At 37.7% G+C, this 19134-nt stretch overlaps 1 long non-coding RNA gene across 1 annotated transcript in view; it reads left to right on the plus strand.

Annotated features, from left to right (window-relative positions):
• LOC124902062 (uncharacterized) overlaps positions 1–17687 on the plus strand; it is a 28795-nt gene extending 11108 nt beyond the window's left edge. The window contains exon 2 of the long non-coding RNA XR_007061176.1: positions 12883–17687. This is a non-coding gene — a long non-coding RNA (uncharacterized LOC124902062). The remainder of the gene's footprint in view (positions 1–12882) is intronic.
• Positions 17688–19134: the final 1447 nt, after the last annotated feature.

The raw sequence follows: 19134 nt of genomic DNA on the forward strand, positions 1-19134 counted from the left end.
AAAATATGGTATTTGGAGAGTGGGATGATTATATTTGAGATTTTGCAAAACTTTGTTCTCAGGTCCTTACTTATGACCATTTATTCTAAAGATTGAATCACTCAAACATGAAGTCTCGACATATATCAAATTACTTGCCAAATGAAAGCTTTTCTACATATGCCAGTGTATAATTCTATTAGGATTGTATACATTGAAACACACCCACATCTACAATAATGAGAGTGTGAAGGCTACAGTCATTTTTGCTCCAGGGCTGGTGACAAATTCCATTGAAAAGTTTGGTGATAACTAGTTCAGCAGTTTTCAAATTATATCAGTGGAAATAAATGGTGTTTTGCATCAGAAGCAGCTATCACCATTTTTTTCCAAATCTAGTTAAAAACTGGATATTAAAACACAAGTAATCAAATATTCCGCTTTGTCTACCTGTTCTTCAAAAGCCAATTTTCTTACCTCTGGCCTATGAAATTCTTTTTATCACAATTGAAATGCAGGGGTTCCTTGACAAGGACAGTTTTGAAAAGAAAATTGAAGTTTGTAAACTTCAAATGCCAAGTAAAAGTTTGCAGGCTTTAAAACTCCAACTAGCGTATCCTTCACCAGGAACTTCAATTTTTCACTCATTACTAGAAGAAACTTTCTAACCTTCACTAAATTTTGAAGGCTGCCAGAATAATTTAGGATGAAATGGCTACTTGCCCAGAGATAGAAGGCAATGATGTGAACTTTAATCAAAATTAGAGACTGAAAAGAATATTTGAAATATTCCTTCCCTAGAGGTAGATGTTTCCGACATTCCAATAAACTTTTATTTTAAAAAAAATTCTGCCTCTACTTCTGCAGCTTTGCAGTCATGCACTGCGTAATGGTGTTTCGGCGAAGGATGGATTGCATATAGGATGGAGGTCCCATAAGATTATAATAGCATATTTGTACTGTACCTTTTCTATGTTTAGATAGGTTCAGATACACAGATATTTACCATTTGCTCATTTGCCTACAGCATTCAGTACAGTAACATGCTGTAAAGGTTTATAGCCTGAGATCAATAGGCTATACTATAAAGTAAGTGTGTCAGTAGGCTCTACCATCTTGGTTTGTGTAAGTGCACTCTGTGATGTTGCACGACAAAAACTGCCTAACGATGCATTTTGCAGAACCTATCCCTGTCATTAAGTGACATGACTGTACTTGTGCAAGCACATTTGTATTTAATTGAATATAATCAGTTAAAGTCCAACTTCTTTACTTTTTTCAGAGCTTTGTGAGTGCTTTCCCTTAATACTCATGGCTGATCTTTTTATGTGTGTTGAACAAGTATTGTGTACTTCATGGACAGAGATTCACGTGGCATGACCAAGAAGAGCTGTCAATCTTACCAATGTATGTTGAATACTAAGTGGTAAAAGAGAATTTTAAAAGAGCAGTGCAAGTAGCCAATCAGATCACTTTTGAGAGGCCTTCAAGATAGTTTTGCACTTGCCCCTCAGCATATATGATAGAATGTTCAAAGGATATTCAGTTTTTTGAGTGGAATCAGATTAAACCAACATGCAAAATATATTTTTTATGAAAAAGATTGAGTGACACACTAGACATAAAAAGAAACTCTACATTGATTTTGTTGTCAATTAAGAAAGACAAACTTGTATACAGTTAGGGAGCACTAAAATCTATCAAGAATATTTTCTTTATTATATTTAATTTTAATTTTTAGAGGCAGGATTTGGCTCTGTTGCACAGGCTGGAGTGCAGTGGATAGATGATAGCTCACTGCAGCCTTGAACTCCTGGCCTGAACTGCTCCTCCTGCCTCAGCCTCCTAAAGTGCTGGGATTATAGGCATGAACCACTTTGCCTGGCCTATAAAGAATATTTTCTACAGTTCCCCAGATGAGGCTGGAATTGAGGGAAGAGTACACATGTGCTTCTATTGTATTGCTCTATTTATTTCAAAAATACCAAAAGGAAATATACTGCATAATAATAGTATTTAACTATTATTAGTTAAATACTAATACCAACTAAAGGTTGGTGATGGCTAGATGTATACTCATTATAATATTCCTGTTTCTGTATGTTTGCGATGTTTTTTGTTTATCTGAAAGTACTTTATTTTACTTTCTTTTTTTAAGTTAAAGAAATTGTGTGTACATAGTAGGTGTATTTATAGGGTACATGAGATGTTTTGATACAAGCTTGCAATGTGAAATAGGCACATCATGGAGAATGGGGTATCCATCCTTTCAAGCATTTACCCTTTGAGTTACAAACAATCCATTTACACTCTTTACATTATTTTAAAGCATACCATTAAGTTATTGGCCATAGTCACTCTCTTGTGCTATCAAATAGTAGGTCTTATTCATTATTTCTAACTATTTCATACCCATTAACCATCCCCACCTCCCCACTATCCAGCTCTCCACTACCCTTCTCAGCGTTTGGTAACTATCCTTCTACTCTCTATGTCCATGAGTTCAATTGCTTTGACATTTAGATCCTACAAACAAGTGAGAACATATGATGTTTGTCTTTCTATGTCTGGCTTATTTCACTTAACATAATGATCTTCAGTTCCATTTATGTTGTTGCAAATGACTGGATCTCATTTATTTATGGCTGAATACTACTCCATTATGTATATGTACCACATTTTTCTTATCCATTCATCTGTTAATGGACACATACGTTGCTTCCAAATCTTAGCTATTGTAAACGGTGCTGCAACAAACACAGGAGTGCAATTATCTCTCCAATATACTGATTTCCTTATCCTACACAGATGACCCTTCTTTTAAGTTATATACTCAGCAATGGGATTGCTAGATCACATGGTAGCTAAACTTTTAGTTTTTTGAGGGACTTTCAAACTGTTCTCCGTAGTGGTTGTACTAATTTACATTCCTACCAAGAGTGTACAGGAGTTCCCTTTTCTCTACATCCTCGCCAGCATTTGGTATTGCCTGTTTTTTGGATAAAAGTCATTTTAACTGGGGTGAGATGGTATCTCATTGTAATTTTGATTTGCATTTCTCTGATGATCAGTGATGTTGAGCACCTTTCATATGCCTGTTTGCCATTTGTTTGTCTTCTTATGAGAAATGTCTATGCAAATCTCTTGCCCATTTTTTGATCAGATTATTAGATTATTTCCTATAGAGTTTTTTGTTTGAGCTCCTTATATGTTCTGGTTATTAATCCCTTGTCAGATGGGTAGTTTGCAAATATTTTATCTCATCTCTGGATTGTCTTTTCACTGTGTTCATTGTATCCTTTGCTGTGCAGAAGCTTTTTAACCTGATGTGATCCCATTTGTCCATGTTTGTTTTGGTTGCCTCTACTTATGGGGTATTGCTCAAGAAATCTTTGCCCAGACCAATATCCTGGAAATTTTTCACACTGTTTTCTTGTAGTAGTTTCATAGTTTGAGGTATTAGATTTAAGTCTTTAACCCATTTTGATTTGATTTTTGTATATGGTGACAGATAGGGGTCTAGTTTCATTCTTCTACATATGGATATCCAGTTTTCCAAGCACCATTTATTGAAAAGACTGTCTTTTCCCCTGTGTATGTTCTTGGCACCTTTGTCAAAAATGAGTTCACTGTAGGTGTGTGGGTTTGTTCCTGCATTCTTTATTCTGTTCCACTGGTCTCTGTGTCTGTTTTTATGCCAGTACCATGCTGTTTGGGTTACTATATCCCTGTAGTATAATTTGAAGTCAGGTAATGTGATTCCTCCAGTATTGTTCTTTTTGCTTAGAATAGTTTTGACTATTTTGAGTCTTTTGAGGTTTCATACATGGAACCAAAAAAAATTAGGATTGTTTTTTCTATCTCTGTAAAGAATGTCACTGGTATTTTGATAGGGATTGCATTAAATCTGTAGATTGCTTTGGGTAGTATAAGGCATTTAAAAAATATTGATTCTTCCAATCCATGAACATGCAATATTTTTCCACTTTTGGTGTCTTCTTCAATTTCTTTCTTTCTTTCTTTATATTATACTTTAAGTTGTAGGGTACATGTACACAACATGCAGGTTTGTTACATATGTATACATGTGCCATGTTGGTGTGCTGCACCCATTAACTTGTCATTTACATTAAGTATATCTGCTAATGCTATCCCTCCCATCTATAAATTACCTCAGGCAGTATGGCCATTTTCATGATATTGATTTTTCCTATCCATTAGCATGGAATGTTCTTCCATTTGTTTGTATCCTCTTTTATTTCCTTGAGCAGTGGTTTGTAGTTCTCCTTGAAAAGGTCCTTCACATCCCTTGTAAGTTGGATTCCTAGGTATTTTATTCTCTTTGAAGTCATTGTGAATGGGAGTTCACTCATGATTTGGCTCTCTGTTTGTCTGTTATTGGTGTATAAGAATGCTTGTGATTTTTGCACATTGATTTTGTATGCTGAGACTTTGCTGAAGTCGATTATCAGCTTAAGGAGATTTTGGGCTGAGACAATGGGGTTTTCTAAATATACAATCATGTCATCTGCAGACAGGGACAATTTGACTTCCTCTTTTCCTAATTGAATACCCTTTATTTCTTTCTCCTCCTTGATTGCCCTGGCCAGAACTTCTAACACTATGTTGAATAGGAGTGGTGAGAGAGGGCATTCCTGTCTTGTGCCAGTTTACAAAAGGAGTGCTTCCCGTTTTTGCCCATTCAATATGATATTGGCTGTGGGTTTGTCCCAAATAGCTCTTATTATTTTGAGATACATCCCATCAATACCTAGTTTATTGAGAGATTTTAGCATGAAGGGCTATTGAATTTTGTCAAAGGCCTTTTCTGCATCTATTGAGATAATCATGTGGTTTTTGTCTTTGATTCTGTTTATGTGATGGATTACATTTATTGATTTGCATATGTTGAACCAGCCTTGCATCCCAGGGATGAAGTCAACCTGATCATGGTGGATAAGCTTTTTGATGTGCTGCTGAATTCGGTTTGCCAGTATTTTATTCAGGGTTTTTGCATCGATGTTCATCAGGGATATTGGTCTAAAATTCTCTTCTTTTGTTGTGTCTCCGCCAGGCTTTGGTATCAGGATGATTCTGGCCTCATAAAATAAGTTAGGGAGTATTCCCTCTTTTTCTATGGATTGGAATAATTTCAGAAGGAATTGTACCAGCTCCTCTTTGTACCTCTGGTAGAATTTGGCTGTGAATCCATCTGGTCCTGCACTTTTTTTGGTTGGTAGGCTATTAATTATTGCTTCAATTTCATAGCCTGTTATTGGTCTATTCAGGGATTCAACTTCTTCCTGGTTTAGTCTTGGGAGGGTGTATGTGTCCAGGAATTTATCCATTTCTTCCAGATTTTCTAGTTTATTTGCGTAGAGGGGTTTATAGTATTCTCTGACTGTAGTTTGTATTTCTGTGGGATTGGTGGTCATATGCCCTTTATCATTTTTTATTGCGTCGATTTGATTCTTCTCTCTTTTCTTCTTTATTAGTCTTGCTAGTGGTCTATCAATTTTGTTGATCTTTTAAAAAAACCAGCTCCTGGATTCATTGATTTTTTTGAAGGGGTTTTTATGTCTCTTTCTCCTTTAGTTCTGCTCTAATCTTAGTTATTTCTTGTCTTCTGCTAGCTTTTGAATGTGTTTGCTCTTGCTTCTCTAGTTCTTTTAGTTGTGATATTAGGGTACCAATTTTAGATCTTTCCTTCTTTCTCTTGTGGGCATTTAGTGCTATAAATTTCCCTCTACACACTGCTTTAAATGTGTCCCAGATATTCTGGTATGTTGTGTCTTTGTTCTCATTAGTTTTAAAGAACATCTTTATTTCTGCTTTCATTTCGTTATGTACCCAGTAGTCATTCAGGAGCAGGTTGTTGAGTTTCCATGTAGTTGAGGGGTTTTGAGTGAGTTTCTTAATCCTCAGTTCTAGTTTGATTACACTGTGGTCTGAGAGACAGTTTGTTATAATTTCTGTTCTTTTACATTTGCTGAGGAGTGCTTTACTTCCAACTCTGTGGTCAGTTTTGGAATAAGTGCAATGTGGTGCTGAGAAGAATATATATTCTGTTGATTTGGGGTGGAGAGTTCTGTAGATGTCTATTAGGTCTGCTTGGTGCAGAGCTGAGTTCAATTCCTGGATATCCTTGTTAACTTTCTGTCTCATTGATCTGTCTAATGTTGACAGTGGAGTGTTCAAGTCTCCCGTTATTATTGCATGGGAGTCTAAGTCTCTTTGTAGGTCTCAAAGGACTTGCTTTATGACTCTGAGTGCTCCTGTATTTGGTGCATATATATTTAGGACAGTTAGCTCTTCTTGTTGAATTGATCCCTTTACCATTAAGTAATGGCCTTCTTTGTCACTTTTGACCTTTGTTGGTTTAAAGTCTGTTTTATCAGAGACTAGGATTGCAACCCCTGCTTTTCTTTTTGTTTTTTTATTTGCTTGGTAGGTCTTCCTCCATCCCTTTATTTTGAGTCTATGTGTGTCTTTGCATGTGAGATGGTCTCCTGAATACTGCACACAGATGGGTCTTGACTCTTTATCCCTTTTGCCAGTCTGTGTCTTTTAATTGGAGCATTTAGTCCATTTACATTTAAGGTTAATATTGTTATGTGTGAATTTGATCCTGTCATTATGGTGTTAGCTGGTTATTTTGCTTGTTAGTTGATGCAGTTTCTTCCTAGCATCGATGGTCTTTACAATTTGGCATGTTTTTGCAGTGGCTGTTACTGGTTGTTCCTTTCCATGTTTAGTGCTTCCTTCAGGAGCTCTTGTACAGCAGGCCTGGTGGTGACAAAATCTCTCAGCATTTGTATAGGATTTTATTTCTCCTTCACTTATGAAGCTTAGTTTGTTTGGATATGAAATTCTGGGTTGAGAATTCTTTTCTTTAAGAATGTTGAATATTGGCCCCCACTGTCTCTGGCTTGTAGAGTTTCTGCAGAGACATCCGCTGTTAGTCTGATGCACTTCCCTTTGTGGGTAACCTGACCTTTCTCTCTGGCTGCCCTTGATATTTATTCCTTCATTTCAACTTTGTTGAATCTGACAATTATGTGTCTTGGAGTTGCTCTCTCGAGGAGTATCTTTGTGGCATTCTCTGTAATTCCTGAATTTGAATGTTGGCCTGCCTTGCTAGGTTGGAGAAGTTCTCCTGGATAATATCCTGAAAAGTGTTTTCCAACTTGGTTCCATTCTCCCTGTCACTTTCAGGTACACCAATCAGACGTAGATTTGGTCTTTTCACATAGTCCCATATTTCTTGGAGGCTTTGTTCATTTCTTTTTACTCTTTTTTCTCTAAACTTATCTTCTCACTTCATTTCATTCATTTGATCTTCAATCACTGATACCCTTTCTTCCACTTGATTGAATCTGCTACTGATGCTTGTGTATGCATCACATTGTTCTTGCCCCATGGTGTTCAGCTCCATCAGGTAATTTAAGGTCTTCTCTATGCTGTTTATTCTAGTTAGCCATTCATCTAATCTTTTTTCAAGGTTTTTAGCTTCTTTGCGATGGGTTTGAACATCCTCCTTTAGCTCGGAGAAGTTTGTTATTACCCATTATCTAAAACCTTCTTCTCTCAACTCGTCAAAGTCATTCTCTGTCCAGTTTTGTTCCATTGCTGGCGAGGAGCTGCATTCCTTTGGAGGAGAAAAGGCTCTCTGATTTTTAAAATTTTCAGCTTTTCTACTCTGGTTTTTCCCTATCTTTGTGGTTTTATCTACCTTTGGTTTTTGATGATGCTGATGTACAGATGGGGTTTTGGTGTGGATGTCCTTTTTGATTGTTAGTTTTCCTTCTAACAGTCAGGACCCTCAGCTGCAGGTCTGTTGGAGTTTGCTGGAGGTTGACTCCAGACACTGTTTGTCTGGGTATCAGCAGCATAGGCTGCAGAACAGCAAATATTGCAGAACAGCAAATGTTGCTGCCTGATCCTTCCTCTGGAAGCTTCATCTCAGAGGGGTACCTGGCCATATGAGGTGTCACTCAGCCCCTACTGGGAGATATCTCCCAGTTAGGCTACTTGTGGTTCAGGGACCCACTTGAGGAGACAGTCTGTCCGTTCTCAGATCTCAAACTCCATGCTGGGAGAACCACTACTCTCTTCAAAGCTGTCAGACAGGGACATTTAAGTCTGCAGAAGTTTCTGGTGCCTTTTGTTCAGCTATGCTCTGCCCCCAGAGGTGGAGTCTATAGAGGCAGGCAGGCAGGCCTCCTTGAGCTGTGGTGGGTTCCACCCAGTTCGAGTTTCCCAGATGCTTTGCTTACCTACTCAAGCCTCTCCAATGTTGGACGCCCCTCCCCCAGCCTCGCTGCCACCTTGCAGCTTGATGTCAGACCCAATTTTCCAGGTATCATCTGTCATGGCTTCCCTTGGCTAGGAAAGGGAATTCCCCAAGCCCTTGCACTTCCCAGGTAAGGCAATGCCCTGCCCTGCTTCAGCTCACACTCTGTGGGCTGCACCCACTGTCTGACAAGCCCCGGTGACATGAACCTGGTACCTCAGTTGGAAATGCAGAAATCACCCATCTTCTGTGTTGCTCATGCTGGGAGCTGTAGACTGGAGCCGTTCCTGTTTGGCCATCGTGGAACCTCCCTTCAATTTCTTTCATTACTGTTTTCCAGTTTTCATGATAGAGATCTTTCACTTCTTTGGTTAAGTTAATTCCTAGATATTTAATTTTAGATTTGCTATAGTAAATTGGGTTACTTTTTTATTTCTTTTTTACATTGTTCACTGTTGGCATACAGAAATGCTACTGATTTTTGTATGTTGATTTTGTATACTGCAACTTTACTGAATTTGCTTATCAGTTTTAATAGTTTTCTTGTGGAGTCATTAGGTTTATCCAAATATAAGATCATATTATCTGAAAACAAGGATAATTTGACCTCTTTCCAATTTGGATCCCTTTTATATCTTTCTCTTATCTGATTGCTCTAGCTAGGACTTTCAGTACTGTGTTGAATAACAGTGATGACTGGGTATCCTTGTCATATTTCAGATCTTAGAGGAAAGGCTTTCAGTTTTTCCCCATTCAGTATGATACTAGCTATGGGTCTGTCATATTTGGCTTTTATTATGTTGAGGTATGTTCCTTCTATCCCTGGTTTTGGAGAATTTTATCATGAAGGGGTATGAAATTTACCAATAATAGTTTGGAAGTACTCTCTCCTCTATTTTTTGAAATAGTTTGAGTAGGATTGATATTGATTCTTCTTTAAATATTCGGTAGAATTCAGCAGTGAAGCCATCAGGTCCCAGGCTTTTCTTTACTGGGAGACTTTTTATTACAGCTTTGATCTTGTTACTTGTTATTGATCTGTTCAGGTTTTGGATTTCTTTCAGGTTCAGTCATAGTAGGTTGTATGTATCTAGGAATTTGTCCATTTCTTCTAGATTTTCCAGTTTATTGGCATATAGTCTCTCAGAGTAGCCACTTGTGCTTTTTTGAATTTCTGCAATATCATTTTTAATATCTTCTTTTTCATTTCTGATTTTATTTGAATCTTCTCTTTTTTCTTAATCTGGCTAAAGGTTGTCAATTTTGTTTAACTTTTCAAAAAACAACTTTTTGTTTCATTGATTTTTTGTATTGTTTTTTCATTTCAATTTCACTCATTTTTGCTCTGCTCTTTATTATTTGTTTTCTTCCACTAATTTGGGGTTTGGTTTGCTCTTGACTTTCCACTTTAAGATGCATCCTTAGATTGTTCATTTGAATTACTTCCCTCTGGGCACTTCTTCTGCTGTATCCCATAGGTTTTGGTATATTGTTTCCAATATAATTTGTTTCAAAAAAATTTTCAATTTCTTTCTTAATTTCTTCATTGGACCACTGGTCATTCAGGAACATATTGTTTAATTTATATGTGCTTGTATAGTTTCCAAAATTTCTCGTTATTAATTTCTAGTTTTATCCCATTGTGGTCAGAGAAGATGCTTAATATTATTTTAATTTTTTTGAATGTTTTAAGACTTTTTTTGTGACCTAACATAAGGTATGTACTTGAGAATGAGCCATGCGCTGAGGAAAAGAAGGTGTATTCCACAGCTCTTGGATGAGATGTTCTGTAAATATCTATTAGATCATTTGGTCAATAGTGTAGATAAGTCTGATGTTTCTTTATTGATCTTCTGTCAGGAAGATCTGTCCAATGCTGAAAGTGGGGTGTTAAAGTCACCAACTATGATTGTATTGGGGCCTATATGTTTCTTTAGCTCTAATAATATTTTCTTTATATATCTGGATGCTCCAGTGTTGGGTACATATATATTTAAAATTGCTATATTCTCTTATTCAATTAATCTCTTTATCATTATAGAGTTACCTTTTTGTTTCTTCTTATAGTTTTTGTCTTGAAATCGATTTTGTCTGACATAAGTATAGTATTCTTGCTCTTGTTTGGTTTCCATTGGCATGGAGTATCTTTTTCCATCCCTTTATTTCAAGTCTATGTGTTCTTTATAGGTAAAGTGTGATTCTTGTAGGTAACACACAAATGGGTCTTGTTTTTTCATCCATACATCCAGTCTATGAATTTTGAGTGAAGAGTTTAGTGCATTTACATTCAATGTTATTATTGATAAGTAAGGACTTACTTCTGCCATTTTGTCATTTGTTTTCTGGTTATTTTGTGGCCTTCTCATCCTTCTTTGTTTCTGTCTTTCTCTAGTGAAGACGGTTTTCTCTGGTGATATCATTTAGTTTCCTGCTTTTTATTTTTTGTGTGTTTATTGTATGCTTTTTGGTTTGAGGTTACCATGAGGCTTGGAAATACTACGTTAAAACCTATCATTTTAACCTGGTCACAACCTAATACTATTTTCATAAACAAACAAACAAGCAAAAAGAAAACCAATAAAAACTCAACTTTATTTCCCCACTTTTAAATTTTTTGTTGTTTTAATTTGTATCTTATTGTACTATGTCATGAATAGTGGTAGGTATTTTTGACTGTTTCGTTATTTAGTCTTTTTTCTTAGTGTAAGAGTAGTTTACACCCTACAGTTATGATATCATAATAATAACTTTTGTTTTACTGTGTACTTACTGTTACCAGTGCATTTTCTACCTTCAGGTAATTATTTATTGCTCATTAATATCCTTTTCTTTCTGATTGAAGCACTCTCTTTAGTATTTCTTGTAGCATGGGTGTAGTATTGATGAAATCCCTCAGCTTTGTTTGTCTGGGAAAAATCTTTATTTCTCTTTCATGTTTGATGGATGTTTTTGTCAGATATACTATTCTAGTGTAAAAGTTTGTTGTTGTTGTTGTTGTTGTTGTTTTCAGCACTTTAAATATGTCATGCCATTCTCTCCTGGCCTATAAGGTTTCCACTGAAAAGTCTGTTGCCAGATGTATTGGAACCTCATTGAATGTTATTTGTTTATTTTGCTGCTTTCATGGTCCTTTCTTTATTCTTGACCTTTGGGAGTTCGATTATTCAATTTCATGAGGTAGTCTTTGGGTTAAATCTGCTTGGTGTTCTATAACCTTCTCGTACTTGGATATTAGTATCTTTCTCTAGATTTGTGAAGTTCTCTGTTATTATCCCTTTGAGTAAACTTTCTACCCTATCTCCCTCTCTAAGTCCATTAAGTCTTAGATTTGCCCTTTTGAGGCTATTTTCTAGATCCTGTAGCGTGCTTCCTTGTTTTTTACTCTTTTTTCTTTTGTCTCCTCTGACTATTTCAAATAGCATGTCTTCAAACTCACTAATTCTTTCTTCTGCTTGATCCATTCTGCTATTAAAGGACTCTGATACATTCTTCGGTATGTGTGTTGCATTGTTTTAAAATTATACTTTAAGTTCTGGGATACATGTGCAGAATATGCAGGTTTGTTACATAGATAGACACATGCCATGGTGGTTTGCTGCACCCATCAACACATCATCTACATTAGGTATTTCTCCTAATGCTATCCCTCCCTTAGCCTTCCACCCACTGACAGGCCCCATTGTGTGATGTTCCCCTCCCTGTATCCTATGTTATCATTGTTCAACTCCCACTTATGAGTGAAAACATGCAGTGTTTGGTTTTCTGTTTTTGTGTTAGTTTGCTGAGAGTGATGGTTTCCAGTTTCATCCATGTCCCTGCAAAGGACATGAACTCATCTTTTTATGGTTGCACAGTATTCCATGGTGTGTATGTGCTACGCTTCCTTTATCCAGTCTATCATTGATGGGCATTTGGGTTTGTTTTAACTCTTTGCTATTGTGAACAGTGCTGCAATAAACATATGTGTGCATGTGTCTGTATAGTAGAATGATTTATAATCCTTTTGGTATATATCCAGTAATGGGATTGCTGGGTCAAATGGTATTTCCGGTTCTAGATCCTTGAGGAATTGCAGTACTGTCTTCCACAATGGTTGAACTAATTTGCATTTTCACCAACAGTATAAAAGCCTTCCTATTTCTCCACATCCTCTCCAGCATCTGTTGTTTCCTGACTTTTTAATGATTGCCATTCTAACTGGCATGAGATGGTATCTCACTGTGGTTTTGATTTGCATTTCTCTAATGACCAGTGATGATGAGCTTTTTTTCATATGCTTTTTGGCCGCATAAATATCTTTTTTTGAGAAATGTCTGTTCATATCCTTCAATCACTTTTTGATGTTTTTTTTTCTTGTAAATTTGTTTAAGTACCTTGTAGATTCTGGATGTTAGCCCTTTGTCAGATGGGTAGGTCGCAAAATTTTTCTCCCATTCTGTAGGTTGCCTGTTCACTTGGATGATGGTTTATTTTGCTGTGTAAAAGCTCTTTAGTTCAATTAGATACCATTTGTCAATTTTAACTTTTGTTGCCATTGCTTTTGGTGTTTTAGTAATGAAGTCTTTGCCTGTGCCTGTGTCCTGAATGGTATTGCCTACGTTTTCTTCTAGGATTTTCATGGTTTCAGGCCTTGTGTTTAATTCTGTAATCCATCTTGTGGTAAGCCCAGCCGAATTCTACCAGAGGTACAAAGAGGAGCTGGTACCATTTCTTCAGAAACTATTCCAAATAATAGAAATAGAGGGATTCCTCTCTACTCACTTTTATGAAGCCAGCATCATCCTGATACCAAAACCTGCCAGAGATACTACAAAAAAAATAAATAAAATTTCAGGCCAATATCCCTGATGAACATTGATGTGAAAATCCTCAATAAAATACTGGCAAACAGAATCCAGCAGCATATCAAAAAGCTCATCCACCACAATCAAGTTGGCTTCATCCCTGGGATGCAAGGCTGGTTCAACATATGCAAATCAATAAACGGAATCCATCACATAAACAGAACCAATGACCAAAACCACGATTATCTCAATAGATCCAGAAAAGGCCTTCAATGAAATTCAACACCACTTTATGCTAAAAACTCTCAATGAACTAGGTATTGATGGAATGCATCTGAAAATAATAAGAGCTGTTTATGACAAACCCACAGACAATATCATAATGAATGGGTAAAATCTGGACACATTCCCTTTGAAAACTGGCACAAGGCAAGGATGCCCTCTCTCACCACTCCTATTCAACATAATATTGGACGTTCTGGACAGGGCAATTAGGCAAGAGAAAGAAATAAAGCGTATTCAAATAGGAAGAGAGGAAGTCAAATTGTCTCTGTTTGCAGATGACATGATTATATATTTAGAAAACCCCATTGTCTCAGCCCAAAATCTCCTTAAGCTGATAATCAACTACAGGAAAGTCTCAGGATACAAAATCAATGTGTGAAAATCACAAGCATTCCTATACACCAATAATAGACAAAAAGAGAGCCAAATCATTAGTGAACCCCCTTTCACAATTGCTACAAAGAGAATAAAATACTTAGGAATACCACTTACAAGGGATATGAAGGACCTCTTCAAGGAGAATGACTAACCACTGCTTAAGGAAATAAGAGGGGACACAAACAAATGGAAAAACATTCCATGCTCATGGATAGGAAGAATCAATATTGTGAAAATGGTTACAGATTCAATGCTATCTCCATCAAGCTACCACTGACTTTCTTCACAGAATTAGAAAAAACTATTTTAAATTTCATATGGAACCAAAAAAGAGCCCGTATAGCCAAGATAAGCCTAAGCAAAAAGAATAAAGCTGGAGGCATCATGCTACCTGACTTGAAACTATACTACAAGACTACAGTAACCAAAATAGCATAGTACCAAAACAGATATATAGATCAATGGAACAAACAGAGGCCTCAGAAATAATGCCACACATCTACAACCATCTGATCTTTGACAAACCTGACAAAAACAAGAAATGGGTAAGGATTCCCTATTTAATAAATGGCATTGGGATAACTAGCTAGCCAATGTGTATTGCATTTTTAAGCTCCAGAATTTCTGCTTTTTAATTATTTCAATATCTTTGTTAAATTTAGCTGATAGAATTCTGAATTTTTTCTCTGTATTACCTTGAATTTCTTTGAGTTTCCTCAACACAGCTATTTTGAATTATCTGACAGGTCACATATCTCTTTTTCTCCAGATTTTGTCCCTTGTGCCTATTTAGTTCATTTCTTTAGATCATGTTTTCCTGGATGGTGTTGATGCTATAGATGTTCTTTAATGTCTGGACATTGAAGAGCTAGGTATTAATTGTAGTCTTCACTGTCTGGGCTTATTTGTAGCCATTCTTCTTGGAAAGGCTTTCCAGAAATTTGAAAAAACTTGGGTGTTGTGATCTAAGCTGTATCTGCTTTAGTGTGCACTCCAAGCCCAGTAAAACTGGGGTTCTTAAAAATTTATAGAGGTACCACCTTGATGGTTTTGGACAAGATCTCGGAGAATTCTCTGGGTTGCTAGGCAGAGACACTTGTTCTCTCCCTTACTTTCTGCCAAACATACAGAATCTCTCTATCTCTGTTCTGAGCCACCTAAGCCTGGGGGTGAAGTGACATGAATTAAACCTGTGGTCACCATGACTATGCCTGTGCTCGGTCAGGCCTGAAACCAGCACAGCACTGGGTCTTGCCCAAGGTCTGCTGTAGCCACTCCATGGCTACTGTCTATGTTCACTCAACGCCCTGGGACTGTACAATCAGCAGGTGGCAAAGCCAGCCAGGCCATCCTTCTCTTCATGATGACAAGTACCCCCAGGCCCTGGTGGGTCCAGAAGTGCCATCCAGGAATCAGGGACTAGAGTCAAAAATCTTTGACATCTACCTGGTGTTCTAAAACCACAAGTTGCAGTTCTTTGCACTCTTCCCTCCTCTTTCCAAAGGCAGAGAAGCCTCGCAGTGTAGCTGCCACCACCCTAGCCAACAATGATACTGCCGGACTACCACTGATGTTCCCTTAAGTCTCAAGGCCTCTTAAGTCAGCTTGCCATGAATGCTACCTAGCCTGGGACTCAATTTTTGGGGCAATGGGCTCCTCACTGGCCCACAGTAGGTCCAGAAATACCATCTAGGAGTCATGTCTTAGAACTCGGGACCCCAAGAGTCCACTTGGTACTCTACCCACCATGGCCATGCTGGTACCTAAGGTGCAAGCCAAAGTCTCCTTTACTTTTCTTTCTGCTTTTCTCAGGCAGAGGAAGTTTTGCCCTGTAGCTACCATAGCTGGTAATGTGCTGAGTCTCAACCTGAAACCAGCAAGCCTCAGAGGCTTGCCCAAGTCCCTCGATGCAGTACCTGGGTATTGCTGCTTGTTATTCAGGGCCCAAGGGCTGTTAAGTTCACAAGTGATGAATGCTGCCAGTACTGAGTTCTTTCTTTCAAGACAGCAGGTTCTTTTCTGACCCAAGGTGTGTCTAGAAATGTCGTCTGGAGACTGGGAGCAGTGGCTCATGCCTGTAATCCCAGCACTTTGGGAGGCTAAGGTGGGTGGATCATGAGGTCAAGAGATTGAGAACATCCTGGCCAACATGGTGAAACCCCATCTCTACTAAAAATACAAAAATTAGGTGGGCGTGGTGGCTTGCGCCTATAGTCCCAGATACTCAGGAGGCTGAGGCAGGAGAATCGCTTGAACCCAGGAGGTGGAGGTTGAAGTGAGCCGAAGTCATGCCACTGCTCTCCAGCCTGGCGACAGAGTAAGACTCCGTCTCAAAAAAAAAAAAAAAAAAAAATGTCTTCTGGAAGCTAGGGCCAGAAAAAGGGGCCTCATGACGGTGATTGGTGCTCTATTGTGCTGTGGCTGAACTGGTATTCTAGATCCAAGATGAAGTCCTCCCCACTCTTCCCTCTTCTTTCCTCCAGCAAATGGAAGGAGTCTCTTTTGGAGCTGTGAGCTGTGCAGCCTGGGGTTAGGGGAGGAGTGATGCCAGCACTCTTTTGGCTGCCCCAGTTAGTATCGCAATATGTCACATGCCCTCCAGCCCACTGTCTCTGGACCTAGTTTAGCATGAGGGCTCACATAAGAGTTGCAGTATTTATGGCCTAGACTGCCTTTCAAGTTTATTTGGAGACATAGAGGGCTGTAGCCCTTGGTGGAGAGGTTTTCAGGCACTCAAGTTTGGACCTCTGGGATCAGCACTTCCCCTCTGGCTAGGGCTGGTTTCCAAGCTCTCTCTTTGGGTGGGTGTCAGCTGAGTTTGGTCCAGTTTTCCTTTCTGCTCTAAAAGGACAGCACTGAGTTCGGTGTCTCACAATTGCTGTGATCTCCCTTCCTCTGTGCCCAGAGATGCTCTCTGCACCAGATTGCTACTGCCGTGGGTCAGGGAGAGTGGCACTGGCGATTTAAGGCAGCTGTTTTTTTCTGTTTCTTCAGTACTTCCTTCAGGGATAAGAAGTTAAAACCAGGAACTCACCTGATTTTTGGTTCTTATGAAGGTGGGTTTTTTTTTTTTTCGGTGTAGATACTTATTAACTTGGTGTCCTTGCAGAGTATGGGACAATCAGTGGAGTTTTTATTTCATATAGTTCAACCTAAGAGCATAGCTATCTGAAATATTTCTTCCCTGCTACTACTCTTGGAACACATTTCTCCTTGTACCCAATCTTTTGGCTAGTGTGGTCCAAAAAAAGGAAATACATTTACATGGTTATATGTTATATTACTATTCCAGAAACACAGTTTCTTTAGTGTCATGTTTATTTTTGTAACCAGTAAGGAACAGCGCATCTTTCATTACTATAAATAGAAAATCTTATCTGTGTTACTCTGTTCCTTAATATCAATGTGAAATACTAAGGGTAGTTCTAATGTATTTTCTAGGGGAAACTTCAGCATTTTTAGGCTAGGCTATTCTAAAAAAAAAAAAAATCAGATGCAAAGAAAAGCACTCGAAGTATCTTGAGAGGCTGAATAATAACCCTCTAAAAAGGTCCAGGTTCTAATCTTCAGAACCTGTGAACATGGCACTTTACATGGCAATGAGGACTTTGCAGATGTGATTAAGGACCTTATTGGGGTTTTAATTTGCATTTCTCAAGTTTTCTTTGGGTATATACCCAGTAATAGAATTGCTGGGTTGATAGTTCTTATTTAAATTCTTTGAGAAATCTCCAGACTGCTTTCCACAATGGCTGAACTAATTTGCATTCCCACCAGCAGTGTGTAAGTGTTCCCTTTTCTCCACAACCTTGTCAGCATCTGTTATTTTTTGACTTTTTAATAAATAACAATCTATGTGCACACACACATGTATATGCTATTCTTGATTGTACATTTGTCTGTTATATACATTGTAAATATATTTACTCATTCAAATAAATAAATAAAAGCCATTCTGACTAGTGTGAGATGGTATCTCATTGTGGTTTTGATTAGTGTTTTCCTAATGATGAGTGATGGTAAGTGTTTTTTTCATATGCTTTTTGCTCATACATATGTCTTCTATTGAGAAGTGTCTGTTCATGTCCTTTGCCCATTTTTTAGTGGGCAAGCCCACTCATATTTGAATACACTCATATTTCACATTGGATTTCATCAAAATGTTGGAAGACTGCTATTGAGAAGTTCGTCCTCTCTATAGCATCATAGATATGGGATTACATCCAAGAATTTCACAGTCCCTGAAAATGTATCATGATTGTTCCAAATTGGTCAGGTAGCTTTATTCCCTGCATCACAGATTATTCTAAGATAAGTATGTGGTCAGATCAGACAATGGCACATATTGGGTATTATGCCATTTTTCTCACCATTAAAAAAATAATAAACGCACACAAAGAGAAAGTTACTATCCTGATTTGGTCACGGGTGTGTGAAGTAATAATAGGGCAGCCATCTTGCATCCATGAGTGACCAAGCCACAGTATGAAAGGCAAAAAGTTGAGGATAATATAGAGAATAATAGAACAAATTTGGGTTCTATAAGAACCCAAGTTCTTATAGAACAAGTTTGTGTGGCTATAAGAAAATACCATAGATGAGGTTGCCTAATTAATTTATTATTATTTATTTTTTCACAGTTCTGGAGGCTGGGAGGCCAAGATCAGGATGTCATCATGCCATGTTCTGGCAAGGATGTTTTTCCTGGTTTGTAGCCCTCTATTAATAACTGTGTATACCAGGCAAAGAGACATAGGGCTGTAGTCTCTTTCTCTTCTCAAAAAGACATTAATCCCAACATGGAGACCCTACCTTTATGATCTCATTAGACCTAATTACCTGTCAAAGACCCCAATCCCAAATGCCATCACATTCAGGGTTAGAGTTTCAACATATAAATTTTGGGGGGAAACATTCAGTCCATTACAATTCTTCAAGCCACTTTTAGTTAAGCATTTTCTTACAGTCAGCCAAAAGAGTCCTAACATTTCTACCACAGTTCCTTCAATATTCTTCACATAAATTGTGTGCAAAACTTTTCACAGCCTTGGCTAATTTACATTTGTTTTTTATAAGTCATCTAAAACTCTTTTAAGAGTGAGGGCATGAACAGATGGCTTTGATCCAAGTCCAAACTGACAACACAGAGAGAGTGAGATTATGTCATTGTTCATTTTAGATTTTATAGTTCTATTCAGACTATGTTGTTACGGTTTTTTTCAGTTCAATTTTTTTAGCCCTTATTTGACTGAAAATAAATTCACCATTGATTCTCTAGCATTTGCTAAGATACAACTTATCAGTCCTACAATTACCCAGTTGCCTATTAGGACCCAAAGGTAGACTATTACCCTGTTGATCTTAGACCTGTTTAATCTTTTTTAGATTTATCATTTTTTCTCTTACATTCAAATA

Source organism: Homo sapiens, chromosome 8 (genome assembly GCF_000001405.40).
Source record: "Homo sapiens chromosome 8, GRCh38.p14 Primary Assembly".
In the NCBI taxonomy this organism is placed as follows: Eukaryota; Metazoa; Chordata; class Mammalia; order Primates; family Hominidae; genus Homo; species Homo sapiens.